Source organism: Homo sapiens, chromosome 1 (assembly GCF_000001405.40).
Source record: "Homo sapiens chromosome 1, GRCh38.p14 Primary Assembly".
NCBI lineage: Eukaryota > Metazoa > Chordata > Mammalia > Primates > Hominidae > Homo > Homo sapiens.
In genome coordinates, this window is record NC_000001.11 from 28,988,440 (window position 1) to 29,005,150 (window position 16,711).

Sequence of the window (16,711 nt, forward strand, 5' to 3'; positions counted from 1 at the left end):
ACCTCCCCGTCCTGGGTTCAAGCTATTCTTCTGCCTCAGCCTCCCGAGTAGCTGGGATTACAGGCGCTGGCCACCATGCCCAGCTAATTTTTGTATTTTTAGTAGAGACAGCGTTTTGCTGTGTTGGCCAGGCTGGTCACAAACTCTTGACCTCAGGTAATCTGTCCACCTCAGCCTCCCAAAGTGCTGGGACTACAGACGTGAGCCACCATGCCCGGCTTATAGTTTCTACTCTAAAAAAATTAATGTAGTCATTGGAAACTTACTTTTTAAACAGTTACTTACACTTTATATGTATTAAAGGGTCTTGCTATTTTGCCCAGGCTAATCTCAAACTCCTGGGCTCAAGTGATCCTCCCACCTCAGCCTCCTGAGCAGCTGGCATTACAGGTGTGTACCACCATGCCTGTCCATTTACTGTTTATAAATCAAAGAATAGTAGAGAAAAAAAAAGTATCAAATCAATGTGTTCAGCCCATATATCATTTTATTATAATAATGGAACAAATTGAAGATTTCTCATGAGAGAGGAAAAGAAAGATGAGATGGTTTAGAGTTCATTTTTGTGGAATTATTAGGAACAGGACGGTTATCAGCAGATGTGGTTCTTTTACGTAAATCTTCCTAAAAGCTGTGTGATGAATTCAAGCCCTTTGAAGGTATGTGATAGATTCAAGTCATGTCTACCTTATTTTGATCATCTTCTTTAACTAGAGCATATTGCCACAGAGTGTAAGATACAGATGAGGAAGTCTAGCTCTTTCTATCACCTGTGTAATGTATATTAGTCTGGGGCCTTAATTGTGACATAGTGTTGTTAAACTAAACACGAGTTGTGAGTTTATTTGTCCCAAAAAATGGGAAAACATTAGTACTGTAACTCAGACTATTTTCTGAGAATGTCATTTATTTTCAGCCTCACCATTACAATTAAGAATTATTTTCAGAGTCTTCTTATTTCTGAAGCATGTGAATATTATCTGCATCGTTAAAAGTGTAAGTCCTTCTAGAACTCTGACAGTGTTGGGGGGAAAAAAGTAAAAGTCCTACATGTTTCTATTATAGGTCTGAGATTTGGACTCCATAGTTTTATTAGAGTCTTATTAGAATATTACATGTATTTCTAGAACTATTACTTGTATATTCAAAGTGCTGAGGGTAAAATTTAGGATAAAATTATAATTGCACACTTGCTGTTAGTGAAACAAGGTTGAAAACAAGATTTACTATGTTCTGTAATAGTTAAGATGCAAGCTATAGAATCCGACTAGAGGGTTCAAATCGAAGAAAAGTGACACTTTTCACTTTATCAGTTTCCTCCTCTGTACAATGGGGATAATAATATCCACCTCATTTGGGATTGAAAGGATTAAAAGAGTGAAACCGGTAAAAGCTCTTAAAACATTGCCTGGCATTTAATAAATACTCAATGAATGTTAGCTAGTAAATAAACACAAACAGTAAAGGCAAAGAAACCATTCATATCTTAATAACATTTTATTTTAGGAATACCAAAAGAATTAAATTACATTATCGGCCGGGCGCAGTGGCTCACACCTGTAATCCTAGCACTCTAGGAGGCTGAGGCAGGCGAATCACAAGGTCAGGAGTTTGAGACCATCCTGGCCAACATGGTGAAACCCTGTCTCTACAAAAAATACAAAAAATTAGCTGGGCGTGGTGGCGGGCACCTGTAGTCCCAGCTACTCGGAAGGCGAGGCAGGAAAATTTGCTGAGAGCCGAGATCACGCCACTGCACTCCAGCCTGGGTGACAGTGCGAGATTCCATCTCAAAAAAAAAAAAAAAAAATTACATTATCTTTCAGGAAGCCTGGTACTTTCAAGAGTTTTTCAAATTTCCTTCCTTCCTTCCTTCCTTCCTTCCTTCCTTCCTTCCCTCCCTCCCTCCCTCCCTCCCTTCCTCTCTTCCTCTGCCTCCCTCCTTTCCCCTCCCTCCCTCCTTCCCCCTCTTTATTTATTTTCTTTTTTTCTTTCTTTCTTGACAGGGTCTCTCTCTGTCACCCAGACTAGAATACAGTGGTGTGATCATGGCTCACTACAGCCTCAACCTCCCGGGCTCAAGCTATCCTCCCATCTCAGTCTCCTGAGTAGTTGGGACTACAGGTGCATGCCACATGCCCAGCTAATTTTTAAATTTTTTGGTAGAGACGGTCTTGCTTTGTTGCCTAGGCTGGTCTTGAACTCCTGAACTCGAGCAATCCTTCTGCCTCAGCCTTCCAGAATGCTGGGATTACAGGCATGACCACTGTGCCTGGCCTCAAGGGGTTTTTAACTGCTTTTTTCTCCTTCAGCTTTATATAGGGGAAAATCCATATCTTGTTTTAGTTAACATTTGAATCAGAACTTGTCTGCATTGTCTAAAGTTCATAGATTCGTACTCAAGTTGACACAGATGATGGACAGTTAATTTTAGATTTAACTAAAATCTCATTCATTAAGATTTAATTCCGAATTGAAATAAATTGTCCGTAGGTTATTTGTCTTCATGTGGAGAAAAAGAAACGATATTGTTAGTAAAATTTCAAGGAGATATTATTTAAAAGAACAAACTATTTTAGGCCTTTTGGAAACTAATATTTATAGTCAAAACCTTGTGGATCAGAGTCGTCTGGATAAAGGTTTATTTGCCTAACCATGTTTCTGTATATGTAATAGGATTTTATTTAAATGGTTCTTTTTTATCCAGAATTTTTTAAAAAGCGTGTTTGCTTTATATTATAAATATATAAATATATATTTATATTACATTTAAGTGTATAATATATATAAATATAGGATTGTACCAGTCTTCATCCAGAGTAGCTTGGATTTTTTGGAAGCCTATGTAAATTTTTAATGTTTGTTTATTCATTCAACAAATATTTATTGAAAACCTACCATGTGTGCCAGGCCCTAGGCTGGATATACCTTGGTAAATAAAAACTGCAATATGGTGAAGAGGTTTAAAATCATGGATTTTGGGGCTGAGTGTGGTGGCTCATGCCTGTAAATCCAGCACTCTGGGAGACTGAGGCAGGAGGATCACTAGAGCCCCGGAGTTCGAGACCAACCTGGGCAACATGGAGAAACACCATCTCTACAAAAAAGTAAAAAACTAGCTAGGCATGGTGGCTCTCCTGTAGTCCCAGCTACTTGGGATGTTGAGGTGGGAGGATCACTTGAGTCTGAGAGGTCGAGGCTGCATTGAGCCATGATTATGTCACTGCACTCCAGCCTGGGTGATAGAGTGAGACTCTTGTCTCAAAAAAAAAAAAAAAAAGCAAAAAAAACAAATCGTGGATTCTGAAGCCAGACTGGTATGTGACTTATTAATTGTATGATCCTAGGCAAGTTACTTAATTTCTCTGGCCTGTTTTACAACCCTGCAGGCCAGGTACTATTATCCTCCCTCTATCAAGTGGGGATATAATAATACTACGTGCCTCGCAGGGTAGTTATGAGGATTGAGTTAGTTCACATAAGTAATTTTCTTAGAATAGTGACTGGCCCATTGTAATTGTTGTATAAATGTTTGGTATTATTATTATTATAAAACAGACATGATTTCTACCCTTGTGGACTTTAATAGAGAAGACAAAAAAGTAGCAAATAAAAATAATTATTTATTGTAATAAGTTATAAAGCCACCAGAGTACTGATATGAAAGACAGTAGAGCGGGCATAGATAGATAGGATAGCCAGTGAAGAGACTTCCTGAGGTTGCAGTGAGAGGGTCATGAAAGATCGGAAGGAGTCTTTTAGATTACTTCCAGTATTTAATGCAGGAGTCAAATAATTAATTTCTTTTTCCTAATTGTCAACCATGCATTCTTTTTTTCTTTTAATTGTTTTCCAGCTGTTACACAAGGAAGTAACATATTCTTTTAAAAGAAAATAATTAGTCGGGTTTAGATAAAAATATGTCGGTAGTTTTGTTGTGTTGAAAGTAAAAGTAAAAATGTATGCCGGCCAGGCACGGTTGCTCACGCCTGTAATCCCAACACTTTGGGAGGCCGAGGCGGGCAGATCATGAGGTCAGGAGATCAAAACCATCCTGGCTAACGTGGTGAAACCCCATCTCTACTAAAAGTACAAAAAAATTAGCTGGGCGTGGTGGCGGGCGCCTGTAGTCCCAGCTATTCAGGAGGCCCAGGCAGGAGAATCGCTTGAACCCTGGAGGCGGAGCTTGGAGTAAGCCGAGATCGCGCCACTGCACTCCAGCCTGGGCTACAGAGTGAGACTCCGTCTCAAAAAAAAATGTATACCAAAAATGTTATCCTACTTATCGGTATTATTTGGGGATAATTTAAGATTGCACCAGGAAACTCTTCCTTCATTGACTCTTCTTTGCATTTAACATGATTAATATTGGGTAGAAAGGTGTTAGCTGGTAGTTAAAATTTTTAGCCTACTACATGTTTGCTTAATGATGTGAAATTGGTCCCAAGCATTTCTCTTAGAATTAAAATTAATTTAAAATTTAGAATATGTAACAAGTCACATCTTATTTTGCAGTTTGTAAGGCTACATTGCTAAAATTGAGGAGCATGGGCAGAGACAATAACGTTTTTGTTAAACTTTAATAATACCGTGTAATGGCTTGGTCAGGAAGAATATATAATGCTGAGAGCAATGGATTGGTATCCTCCGGTTTACCTGAGACCTTCATTTATTGATTTGATGGGATTCTACCTGAGAAGTTTTAATAACAAAGTCTTTAGGGCATTTGGGGGATCATACTATTTTTTATAGAAAAATATTTAATATTAATGTCACCTATATTTGTTTTAGTTCATGCTTTTATTGGTAAGATTATTATAGGTAAAAGCATATACAGCATGTTTTGTGAAATGTGTTTATTACTGACTTGGCGATGTCATGGATATGTAGCCTGCTCAGGAAGAACTCAGAGAAGATCCAGATTTTGAAATTAAGGAAGGAGAAGGACTTGAAGAGTGCTCCAAAATAGAAGTAAAAGAAGAAAGCCCTCAATCAAAAGCAGAAACAGAATTAAAAGCTTCCCAAAAACCAATCAGAAAACACAGGAACATGCACTGCAAGGTTTCTTTGTTGGATGACACAGTTTATGAATGTGTTGTGGAGGTGAGTATGTTTTCATTTCCAACAATCAGAACTCTTACAGGTGGTTTCATCTAGAGTTGCGTAAGTGGTGATTTTGCCCACGATAAGACTCACTGTAGTGATTATTTCTTTTTTCTTTTTTTTTTTTTTTTTGAGACAGAGTTTTGCTCTGTCACCCAGGCTGGAGTGCAGTGGCATGATCTTGGCTCACTGTAGCCCCCAACTCCCATGTTCAAGTGATTCTCCTGTCTCAGCCTCCCGAGTAGCTGGGATTACAGCCATGTGCCACCATGCCAGGCTAATTTTTTGTATTTTTAGTAGAGACAGATTTCACCATATTGGTCAGGCTGGTCTTGAAGTCCGGGCCTCAAGTGATCTGCCCACCTCGGCCTCCCAAATTGCTGGGATTACAGGCATGAGCCACTGCGCCCGGCCTTTAATGATTATTTCTGTAGATGGAAGTATTAATGGTGATTTTCTGGAGGTGGGATTATGGGAAGATGATGAGTAAGTCTTTAAGTCCAGTAAATGCCATTTCTTAAAATTTTCTGTTTTCTGAAAGAATAAGTGATTGAATCAGGATTGAAGAAAAATATCAGAGTTATTCAGTTACTCTTTTTGCTCCTTCAGGACAAGTTGACAATTTTTTTTTTGTTTGTTTGTTTTTTGAGACAGAGTCTCTCTCTGTCGTCCAGGCTGGAGTGCAGTGGTACAATCTCGGCTCACTGCAAGCTCTGCCTCCTGGGTTCACGCCATTCTCCTGCCTCAGCCTCCAGAGTAGCTGGGACTACAGGCACCCGCCACCACGCCTGGCTAGTTTTTTGTGTTTTAAGTAGAGACGGGGTTTCACCGTGTTAGCCAGGCTGGTCTCGATCTCCTGACCTCGTGATCTGCCCGCCTCGGCCTCCCAAAGTGCTGGGTTTACAGGCTTGAGCCACCGCGCCCGGCCAGAGCAAGTTGAAATTTTAAAAAAATCTACTAACTATATATTTTTCAAACTGGAACAGTAGTTGTTTATTATGATATGCTTGATATATAAGCAATTGCAATTGTTACTAGTAACAGCTTTTATTGACAAAGTGTGTAATTCACATATATGTGGAACAAACTATTTTATTTATTTATTTATTTATTTATTTATTTATTTATTTATTTGAGACAGGGTCTTGCTCTGTTGCCCAGGTTGAAGTGCAGTGGCGCAGTGACAGCTCACTGCAGCCTCAACCTCCTGGGCTCAGGTGATCCTCCCACCTCAGCCTCCTGAGTAGCTGGGACTACAGGCACATACCATCACACCTGGCTAATTTTTTATATTTTTTGTAGAGACAGGTTCTCACCATGTTGCCCAGGTTACTCTTGAGCTCCCCGGCTCAAGCGATCTGCCTGCCTCAGCCTCCCAAAGTACTAAGATTATAGGCATGAGTCACCGCACCCAGCCTTATTTCTTAATCACATTATTTATTTGCAAATGTAAATATGTTCAATCACAAATCATCTAAAATATTATGCTATATTTACTAATAGGTATTCTCTAAGTTTAAAAAGGAAATCAAGAAAGATGTAATTGTACTTTGAAACAGGTACTATACACCTAACTAGAGCCTTAGGGTCTGCTTTTTCTGCTTCTTGCACTAACTAATTTAGAGATGGGGAAAGCTATTTTACACCTATTCTTCCCATTCAGACCAAGATCCAGATATGGATCTCTTATATATGAAGCCCTTGGGGACAGATGTGTCATAGAATTCAGAATATTTTGAGGCCGGGCACGGTGGCTCATGCCTGTAATCCCAGCACTTTGGGAGGCCGAGGCAGGTGGATCACGAGGTCAAGAAATCGAGACCATACTGACCAACATGGTGAAACCCCGTCTCTACTAAAAATACAAAAATTAGCTGGGTGTGGTGGCACGCACCTGTAGTCCCAGCTGCTTGGGAGGCTGAGGCAGGAGAATCGCTTGAACCCAGGAGGTAGAGGTTGCAGTGAGCTGAGATCACACCACTGCACTCCAGCCTGGCGACAGAGTGAGACTCCGTCTCAAAACAAAACAAAATAAAAACTAGAATTCAGAATATTTTGGAGTTTAGCAAGGGAATAAGTACATATTCTGCATATTTTATAATAAACCCAGCAGTGTCTGTAGCAGCACCCACATGATCAGACATAGTATTTCTATGGTAAAAGATATGAAGATTCATTCTGAGGTGGATAAATTAAGATTATAAATAGTCTCTTTACAGTTCAAGTCAAAATTTGCCATTTGGATTTTAGAATTATGAATAAGGGATTAGGGAAAATACATGAAGCATTTTCAAATCATCTTCTGTCATTTAGAATGAAAACATGGGAGAAAAAAAGAAAATTATTTGATATGGATGAGTTAAGACTGACAATGAATGAACATTTATGTGAATTATTAATAGTCATTAAAAATAACTCATCTCATTGAGAGGAGGACATGTCATATATGTTTGCCCAAAAAATGATTCTAATTTTTTGAAGTATTTTCATATATATTTCTCAGAAGACATTCACATATTTGATTATTGTTAAACAATTCCAATAAAGAGGTAGGATGAGTGTAAATATTCTTATCATTTCACAGCTGAGCAAACTAATGTTCAGAAAAGTTAATTGAATCTACTCAGCTTGTTTAGCTAGTAAATGGAGGAGCCAGGACTTTCTGACTAAATCTCAGTCTTTAAGTTAGGGTATTTTCTTCCTATAAATAGGAGTAAAAGAACCCAAATTTGGGAATGGTTTGACTTTCTAGGTTAAGAAACATTAAGAAAATTATTCCTAGCACCACTGAAGGAGCCACTTCAACAGGTAGTGTCTGTTGGCTATCTAGAATTTTACTTTATTCATTTTTCTGAAAGAGATTGTAGGGAGTTGAGGCATACCTCATTTTCTTTGGGACATTTGGTCTGAAAATGATAGAGTCTAATGATTTCCACAGCCACAATTAAATGTCACTCTGGACAGTTGATTCAGTAATTTAAGTAGTCACGGTAACTGACAGTTGCTCATAGCATGCTACAGGATATATTGCACCAAAAATGAAGAATGTGATGTGTAGGATGGAGATGGGGAATATGAGATGGAAGGAAGGTAGAATTTTGCTTTGAATTGTAACACAATTTCTAAACTAGTATATGTGTATTACATATGTAAACTGACAAATTGAAGAACAGGAATTTTATAAATCATATTTTCTGCTTAAACTATGTAGCCACCTGAAAGTTTGTTGATCACCAAAGATGAAAGAAGAAATCGGAAAGTGACATTTTATTTTATTTCATGATGGGTGTAGAAATAAGAAGAAACCTCAGGCCAGGTGCAGTGGCTCATACCTGTAATCCCAGCACGTTGGAAGGCTGAGGCGGGGGAATCACTTGAGGCGGGGGAATCACTTGAGCCCGGGAGTTCAAAACCAGCCCGGGCAACATAATGAGACTCTCTCTACAAAAAATTTTAAAAATTAGTCAGGCATGGTGGTGCACATCTGTAGTCCTAGCTACTCTGGAGGCTGAGGTGGGAAGATCACTTGAGCCCAGGAGGTTGAGGCTGCAGTGAGCTATGATCAGGCCACTGTACTCCAGCCTGGGCAACAGAGTGAATCCCCATCTCTTTTGGGGAAAAAATAAAAGAAGAAGAAACCTCAACTCAACTAAGTCACGTATATCTTTGCAGAAACATGCTAAGGGACAAGATTTGCTTAAACGAGTATGTGAGCATCTCAATCTTTTGGAAGAAGACTATTTTGGTCTAGCCATTTGGGATAACGCAACCTCTAAGGTGAGGAGACTGCTTGCAATTTAAGAAGCTGACAAAAAATTTATTTTAATTCTTTTGTTGTTAAGAATGTATCTATACCTGCTTCTCTAAGCCAGTGTTCTTAGAGTTATTCCTGTCTACTCTTATTTCTTAGATTTTCCTGCTATTTTTCTTCTAGAATTAACATTTTAAAGGAAAGACCATTGCTGGTGTATTCTTTCATCATTGAAATAAAGTATATATTGTATGTTTTTACAAGGCAAGGAAAATAAAGAGGTATGATGCACTGATTAGCAAGTACTGTAGATGTCAATAACTTAATATATTATGCAATTGGTATTGTATCTAATGCATAGGTTTATAACAAATATTTGTTGAATGGATGATCTGTTATTAATATTATAATGACATATCATAATTAAATATAATTATGATATATAATTATAATTTGAAAGCAACATTATGAAACAGAATAAAATCCCAATATTATTGAAACGGTCATAACGATGAATCTGACATTTCCTCCAACCTAAAAGGAAACCATTGTTAACTTTTGAAGGAGGTAAAAGAATGGACTTGGAGGAGGGAAGAAAGGTTAAAAGTCAGGTATTTACCTCAGAACACTTTAATTATTTCCTGGGCCAATTAATTGAAAATTGCAAATATTTAACATAAATATAATGATGAAAGCTTTAGTCCAGTTTAACAAGTATTTGCAGGTGCTGTACTAGATGATATGGATGCAGCTGTGAATAAGGTAGACATGGTCCCTGCCCTCTGGAACTTCCAGTTTATTATGAAGATAACATTAATTACTGGTTTGATGAGCGCTATACAAAAGGAAATACAGGTTGTCAGGGAAGAGTATGGCCCGGGAAGTCTCCTCTGGGGAGGTGATGCCTTAGCTGAGAGAGACCTGAAGGATAAAATGAGCAAGTGAGGTGGAGAGAGAATGGCTTGTGTAAGACCTGGAGTTGAGAGACTGACAGTTCAGGAACTGAAAGCCATCTAGCCTGGCTGAACATAGGATATGAGGAATAGAGTAACAGATGAATCTGGACAGGTATACGTCCAGGTTGCGGGGTGGGTGTAAAGTGGGGAATCGTGGAGAGAGTCTTGTAGACACTGAATTTAAGCCATTTAAGTTCATCCTTTCTCCAAGATGATTTCAGTTTATTAAGAAAAGTTGAAGGGCAGCAGCCTTCAACATCTGCAAATTGTAGATTAGGTTGTGTGAGTTAGATAATGCAAACTAGAAGACATGGAATTATCCTTTTCCTAAACAAAATCTATTTCTAGACTATACCTAGTAGTTTACAAAAATTTGTTCCTTCTATGAATGACTACTAACTCAAACAGAACTATGTTTGAGCACTAGGTTAATATTATTCTTTAAAGACTTAACCTTTACTTTGTCTCCCTTAGGGCTCAAACTAGCTTGTACTAGTAAATATAGCTAATATTTGAGTACTGTACATTTCAATATCACGAAGAGAGTAAATCTCAAATGTTCTCATCACAAGGTCAAATATTTGAGGTGATGGATAGTTTGATTCATTTGATTTGATCATTTCACATTGTATTAAAAAATCATAACATCACTTTCTGCCCCATAAATATATACAACTATAATTTTTCAATGAATAATTTGAAAAAGTCTAGCCTTAATTGAAACTACTATTTCCCATTAGTAAGGGAACATTGAAGTTAATTTAAAAACAAAACAATGCCCTCAAAACTACAGTGAAAAACTTTCTACAACTGTGAGCTAGAAAATTCTCCCATGAATTGGCGGGGTGTGGTGGCTCACGCCTGTAATCCCAGCACTTTGGGAGGCTGAGGCGGGCGGATCACGAGGTCAGGAGATCAAGACCATCCTGGCTAACACGGTGAAACTCTGTCTCTACTAAAAATACAAAAAATTAGCCAGGCATGGTGGCGGGCGCCTGTAGTACCAGCTACTTGGGAGGCTGAGGCAGGAGAATGGCGTGAGCCCAGGAGGGGGCGCTTGCAGTGAGCCGAGATTGTGCTACTGCGCTCCAGCCTGGGCAACAGAGTGAGACTCCATCTCAAAAAAAAGAAAAAAGAAAATTCTCCCATGAATCAAGGGAAATACTCTGAAAAGTGTTTTATGTAAGCTCAGTGAGATAATTTTGATTCCCAGAAATTGAATAGTTACATTGTGGGGAAAAAAAAACCCAGATTGATTTGAGAATAATTAAGAATCCTTTAATTTGGCATGTAAAGTCACCAAGTACCTACGTGTTTAATATGGCTGGAAATATTTTTTTCTGTGATCTAAGCATACTTATACATTTCTAGAAGCTGGCTCATCTAAAGCCATTCAGCAGAAGAAATAATTTCTGCTTACAGTTGAGCTTCTAGGGCCCACGTTGGGACAAAAATTTTCAGTTACACTGAAAACTTTTCACCATTGTTGGGATTTATATTCTGTCCTGTCACCAAGTTTATTTTCTTTATAGTGGTTTTCACTTTTTTTTTTGAGACAGAGTCTCACTCTGTTGCCTATGCTAGAGTGCAGTGGTGCGATCTTGGCTCACTGCAGTCTCTGCTTTCCGGGCTCAATCGATCCTCCCACCTCAGTCTTCTAAGTAGCTGGGACCACAGGCACGCACCACCATGCTTGGCCAATTTTTAAACTTTTATATTTTGTAGAGACAGGGCCTCACTATGTTGCTCAAGCTGGTCTTGAACTCCTGGGCTCAAGCAATCCTCCTGCCTCAGCCTCCCAAAGTGCTAAATTACAGGCATGACCCACTATGCCTTGCCACTATTGTAATTAGTTTTTGTTTGTTTGAGATGGAGCTTCACTCTTGTCACCCAGTATGGAGTGCAATGGTGTGATCTCTGCTCACTGCAATCTCCACCTCCTGGGCTCAAGCAATTCTCCTGCCTCAGCCTCCCAAGTAGCTGGGATTACAGGCATGCATCACCATGCCTGTCTAATTTTTTGTATTTTTAGTAGAGATGGGGTTTCACCATATTGGCCAGGCTGGTCTCGAACTCCTGACCTCAGGCGATTCACCCGCCTTGGCCTCCCAAAGTGCTGGGATTACAGGCGTGAGTCACTGCACCCAACCGTAATTAGTTTTTAATGAGCAAATGTTAAATTGCTTTATTTATGTTCACCTATATATTTATGTGTAAAGTGTTGTTAAAAGTGCTTAATATAAAAGCTTAATAACAAAGTACAAACCTGGCTGTGTAAGAAAAGGGCATTATTTCCCTGTAAGTATTTTTGGAAAAGAAAAATTGGTACCTCTGAATCATAATCTGGCTTCAACTTCCCTGATAGTTTATAAGAGCCCCTACTGGGGAAGTCAGTGGGCAAGTGAATCCTGGGAAAAATTGGCCTTATCATAGTCAGGGCATCGACAGGTCTGTATGGACCAGGTTCTTATAGGACATCCAGCGGGAACATTGTCAAAGGGAATGGGCTACTCTATATTTTATGCTTCTAAGTTTATCATGGTAAACCTCCAGCTCAGAAGTAAGTCAAAACAGAGTGTTGTTTTTTTTTTTTAATTTTTATTTTTAATTAAAACGAGAGTCCTTAGCTGATCTAAGAAGCAGAGCATGGAAGGGAAAGTAGGAACTTCATTAGCACATGGCCCAGGTAAATCTTGTACAAAAATGAATCTGGGGAAGATTCATCTTAGGATTGTCAAGTTAAAGGGTCAGTACAGTAGCAAAAACACCTTAGTGATGGCAGGCCTTCCTTAATATGCTGTCTCTTGGCTGGGTGTGGTGGCTCATGCCTGTAATCCCAGCACTTTGGGAGGCTGAACTGGGTGGATCACCTGAGTTCGTAACCAGCCTGGCCAACATTGTGAAACCACATCTCTACTGAAAATACAAAAATTAGCCAGGCATGGTGGCACATGCCTGTAATCCCAGCTATGCGGGAGGCTGAGGCATGAGAATCGCTTGAACCCAGGAGGCAGAGGTCGCAGGGAGCCGAGGTCACGCCATTGCACTCCAGCTTGGGAAACAGAGCGAGATCCCGTCTCAAAAAAAAATCATGCTGTCTCTTAAGTCACAGTTGTCTAGTCTGGATGGGTATCACAGTCTGTTTTATATACAGCTGTCCCTGGTATCTCCCATCACTATCATCCTGGGGATGTGCTTTGCCTCTTTCCTGTGATGTTTCTCCTGTTTCCTTTTTCCTTGGTTTTCTTTGTGTTTTGATAGAGTGCTACTCCTCAGAAATGGTACATGGGATGTAATCGTTTTTGAGACATTACATGTCTGAAAAGATGGCTTTATTCTGCCTTCTCATTTGATTTTGAATTTTGTTGGGTATAGGATTTTAGGCTTGAAATTATTTGCCTTCAGAATTTTGAAGGCATTGCTTCATTGTCTTCTAGTTTCCAGTGTTGCTCTTGAAAAGGCCAGAGCCATTTTGATTTTTGATCTTTTGTATGACTTTTGTTCGTCTCCCTCCTCCTTTACACAATCAAGCGAGTATGATCTTTTCTTTTTTCTTGTCCTTACGAAGTTGAGAGTTTACAATTATATATCTTGGTGTGGGTTGATTTTCATCTATTGTTCTGGGCCCACGTCTATTTTTTACCAGACTGATTTCCTAAAGAATGTTAATTTAGCATATTGCCTGGGCTGAATGTGGTAGGCATTCAACAAATGTTTATTGAAAGAGTGAGACATATTGTTACACTTGAGAGACTAGCTTTGCCACATACTAGTTGCAAGTTAGATAAGTTACTTGTCCTTCTGTTTTCTCATTGGTAAAATGGGAATGATAATGAGATAATCTGTATGAAAGCATGTAGAATCATGCTTGACATGTAGTAAGCATTCAATAAAAATAAGGTGTTATCATTATTATTATGATAGTATTATTGGCTGGGCATGGTAGCTCATACCTGTAATTCCAGCACTTTGGGATGTAGAAGCAAGTGGATCACTTGAGCCCAGGAGTTTTGAGACTAGTGAAACCCTGTCTCTACCAAAAATGAAAAAATAGTAACTGAGTGTGGTGGCACATACCTCTAGTCCCAGCTACTCGGTAGGTTGAGGTGGGAGGATAACCTGAGCCTGGGAAGGTGAGGCTGCAGTGAGCCATGAGTACACCACTGCACTTGCCTGGGTGACAGGGATAAGACCCTACCTCAAAAAAAAAAAAAAGATAGTATTATTGTTTTAAAATGAAATTACCAATTAATCAAGGCCTTGGCTTTAAAAGAAAAGATTTATGTGTCATAATCTAGAGATGCATTCTGGAGCATCCTTCGGGTTGAATATTCTACCTGTTCTTAGGTAGGATGTACAAAAGAACAGTGTATCTTTTACTTAAAATTGATTGTATTTGGCAAGACTATATGGCTTTATTTTAGCTATTGGAAAAAGATAAAATCACAACAAATTTAGTTAAAGATCTAATTGGCTTTTATTTGTGATTCATGTATTAGGCAGCCTTCATTCTACAAAATAGAATGAGGGCTCCCAATAAGCAATGGCAGAACAGTGGGTTTTGTAAGGTAGGAATAAGGAAACCAAGTAATAGGAAAAAGCTGATTAGTTTACATCAAGTTACTTTTCTTCTAAATGCTAAAGCAGAGAGGACTTTCTTGTTAAACTGACTCAGGTAGACTGGAATCTCCTGTTTTCAGGAAAAACTGGTCTGTTTAGCATCTACCCACTTCCTTTAGGTTTCAGTTTGATTATGTGGTATTTAGTATGAGTGACTCCATTTTTGTTTGGCCTGATCTGTTGGAGCCAGTGAAGAAGCTTAGACCAAAACAATGGCCTTCCATAATTTTTGTTTAACACTATCAGTCCATGTATATGTACTGTCAATAAGCCAAATTTCTAGATAAGACCTTCTCTAGAAGTACACAGATATTTGTGAAATGATTGAATCAGTAAAGTTCATAGTAAATCATGGTCATCTAAGTTTTCCGCCATTCTGAAAATACAGAAGGTAATAGAGCTATACAGGCTCTGGGGGCTCATCCCCCCATTTTATAGATGAGGAAACTGAAGCACAGCGTGACAGAGTGAGTAAAGGCAGAGTGACATCCTCTAGTTGCACAGTCAGTTTACTCCTGTAGCTCCTTGCCTGCTGCCCCTTCCTAAGTTATTTTCTTCTTTAGCTTTTTACTCCTTTCCTTGATTTTTACATTTCATCTGTAGTTTTTTTGTTTCCTCTACAGAATTAGTTTATGTTGTAGAAAAAAAATGTGAGCCATAATACAATGAGAGACAACTGTTTTCTGTTCTTTCCATTCTCTGGTGTCTTCTTTTTGTATATGTAAAGATTTGTCCTTTGTATATGTAACTTCTGTCATTAAGAGCTTTGTGCTTTGTTTGTAGACAATTGAGTACATTTAGCAGGGAGGAAAGTTTTCCCTCATATGGAGTGGCTTGCTTGTTCCCTTTTCCTACTGACTGCGTGATAATGGGCCTATTGCTAGGGTCTGGCAAGACAAGTGGAAAAGCGGTAAGAAGCAAACTTCTTTTTCTTTCAGGCTGGAGTGCAGTGGTGCCATCTTAGTTCACTGCAACCTCCACCTCCCAGGTTCCAGCGATTCTCACGCCTCAGCCTCCTAAGTAGCTGGGATTACAGGCGCCCACCACCACAGCCAGCTAATTTTTGTATTTTTAGTATAGACAGAGTTTCACCATGTTGGTCAGGCTGGTCTTGAACTCCTGGCCTCAGGTGATCCAACTGCCTTGCCTCGCAAAGTGCTGGAATTACAGGCATGAGCCACTGCGCCCAGCCCAGAAGCAAACTTCTATAGTTCTGTGAGAGATTTGTTGCCACTATGAATCAAAATTGTCAGTTAAATAGTTGCTTCCTATATTTTATTCCTGCTTATAATTATTTATTAATGGATCAAGGATTTTTTCCTTGGGAGAGAAGTCACTTACATTAATTCCATCTCCCTCCAAATTTCATCTCTAAGCAGAAAACTTGTGCTCTTCTGGTAAATAATGAGAATTTTAAATTAGGACTACATGCAATTCAATGGTATATAGTCATTGTCTTTTTCCATCCATTTTCTGTGTGGATGAATTTTCTTACCTTTAGAGTCAGATAATCAGTCTGAAAAGATCATCAGTCAAACAGAAGTCTTTTGCTCACCTTCACAGGCAAAGAGCAAACACCAATGGAGTGACTATTAAATAAAGAGTATGAGTAATTTAGTTTATAGTCATCTGAAAGGATTGATTCTCATTGATTCATGACTGGCCTTGAAGGCAAGTGGCAGTCATGGTTGTATCTTTATTGTCTGGCAAATTAGAAAGACGAAGGGGAATTTTGTAAATATACTTGCAGAGTAGGGAGGCTGCATTTGTTATCTTGTCTTTTGCTACAGAGATTTGGGTCAACACCTCTAATGAATTTAAATGTGGTTTTTTGGGGTTTTGTTTCTTATTTTTTGTGTTTTAACTTAGTACTTAAAGAATGAGACCTAGAATTACCTGTGCTCTAGAGTTTCTATAACATAACTTGGAGCAGTGATTTGAAGTCAACATCCTAACAGCAGCATAAATAAGGTTATTCCTTGAGTTAAGACAGATAGACTTCTGGAGCTGTACAAAAGTCTTTTACCTCAAAAGACAAGGATTTGTATAAATCTCTTATGTGTATGCGTGGGGGTTTTAGGACCTCCATATAAGGGTAGCTGATGACTAACTCGGGGAATGGAGTTCTTTTTTTTAAAACATTATGACCTAAGGTTGTAAATGCTGCCGAAGATATGAAAGGTGTTAGTCTGTTCTTGCACTGCTATAAAGAAATATCTATAAAGAAAGGAGGTTTAATTGGCTCATGGTTCTGCAGGCTGTATAAGAAGCATGGTGGCAT

General features: G+C 38.9%; 1 protein-coding gene across 70 annotated transcripts in view, besides 1 other annotated feature; it reads left to right on the top strand.

Moving 5' to 3' along the window:
• EPB41 (erythrocyte membrane protein band 4.1) overlaps nt 1–16,711 on the top strand; it is a 232,942-nt gene that overhangs the window by 101,340 nt on the left and 114,891 nt on the right. For 67 of the 70 annotated variants that reach the window (NM_001166005.2, NM_001376022.1, NM_001166007.2 and 64 more), the window contains exons 3-4: nt 4,891–5,103; nt 8,776–8,880. In NM_001166005.2, coding sequence (NP_001159477.1) covers nt 4,891–5,103; nt 8,776–8,880 — 318 coding nt within the window. Of the gene's footprint in view, nt 1–916; nt 997–4,890; nt 5,104–8,775; nt 8,881–16,711 lie in introns of all 70 variants that reach the window. The other 3 variants (NM_203342.3, NM_004437.4, NM_203343.3) reach the window with 2 other exon arrangements.
• Nucleotides 15,118–15,412: a silencer, noted in NCBI's record as "tiled region #9156; HepG2 Repressive non-DNase unmatched - State 16:ElonW". NCBI's record gives its function as "represses a minimal TATA promoter and a strong SV40 promoter by Sharpr-MPRA in HepG2 cells {active_cell/tissue: HepG2}" and the evidence as "EXISTENCE:reporter gene assay evidence [ECO:0000049][PMID:27701403]".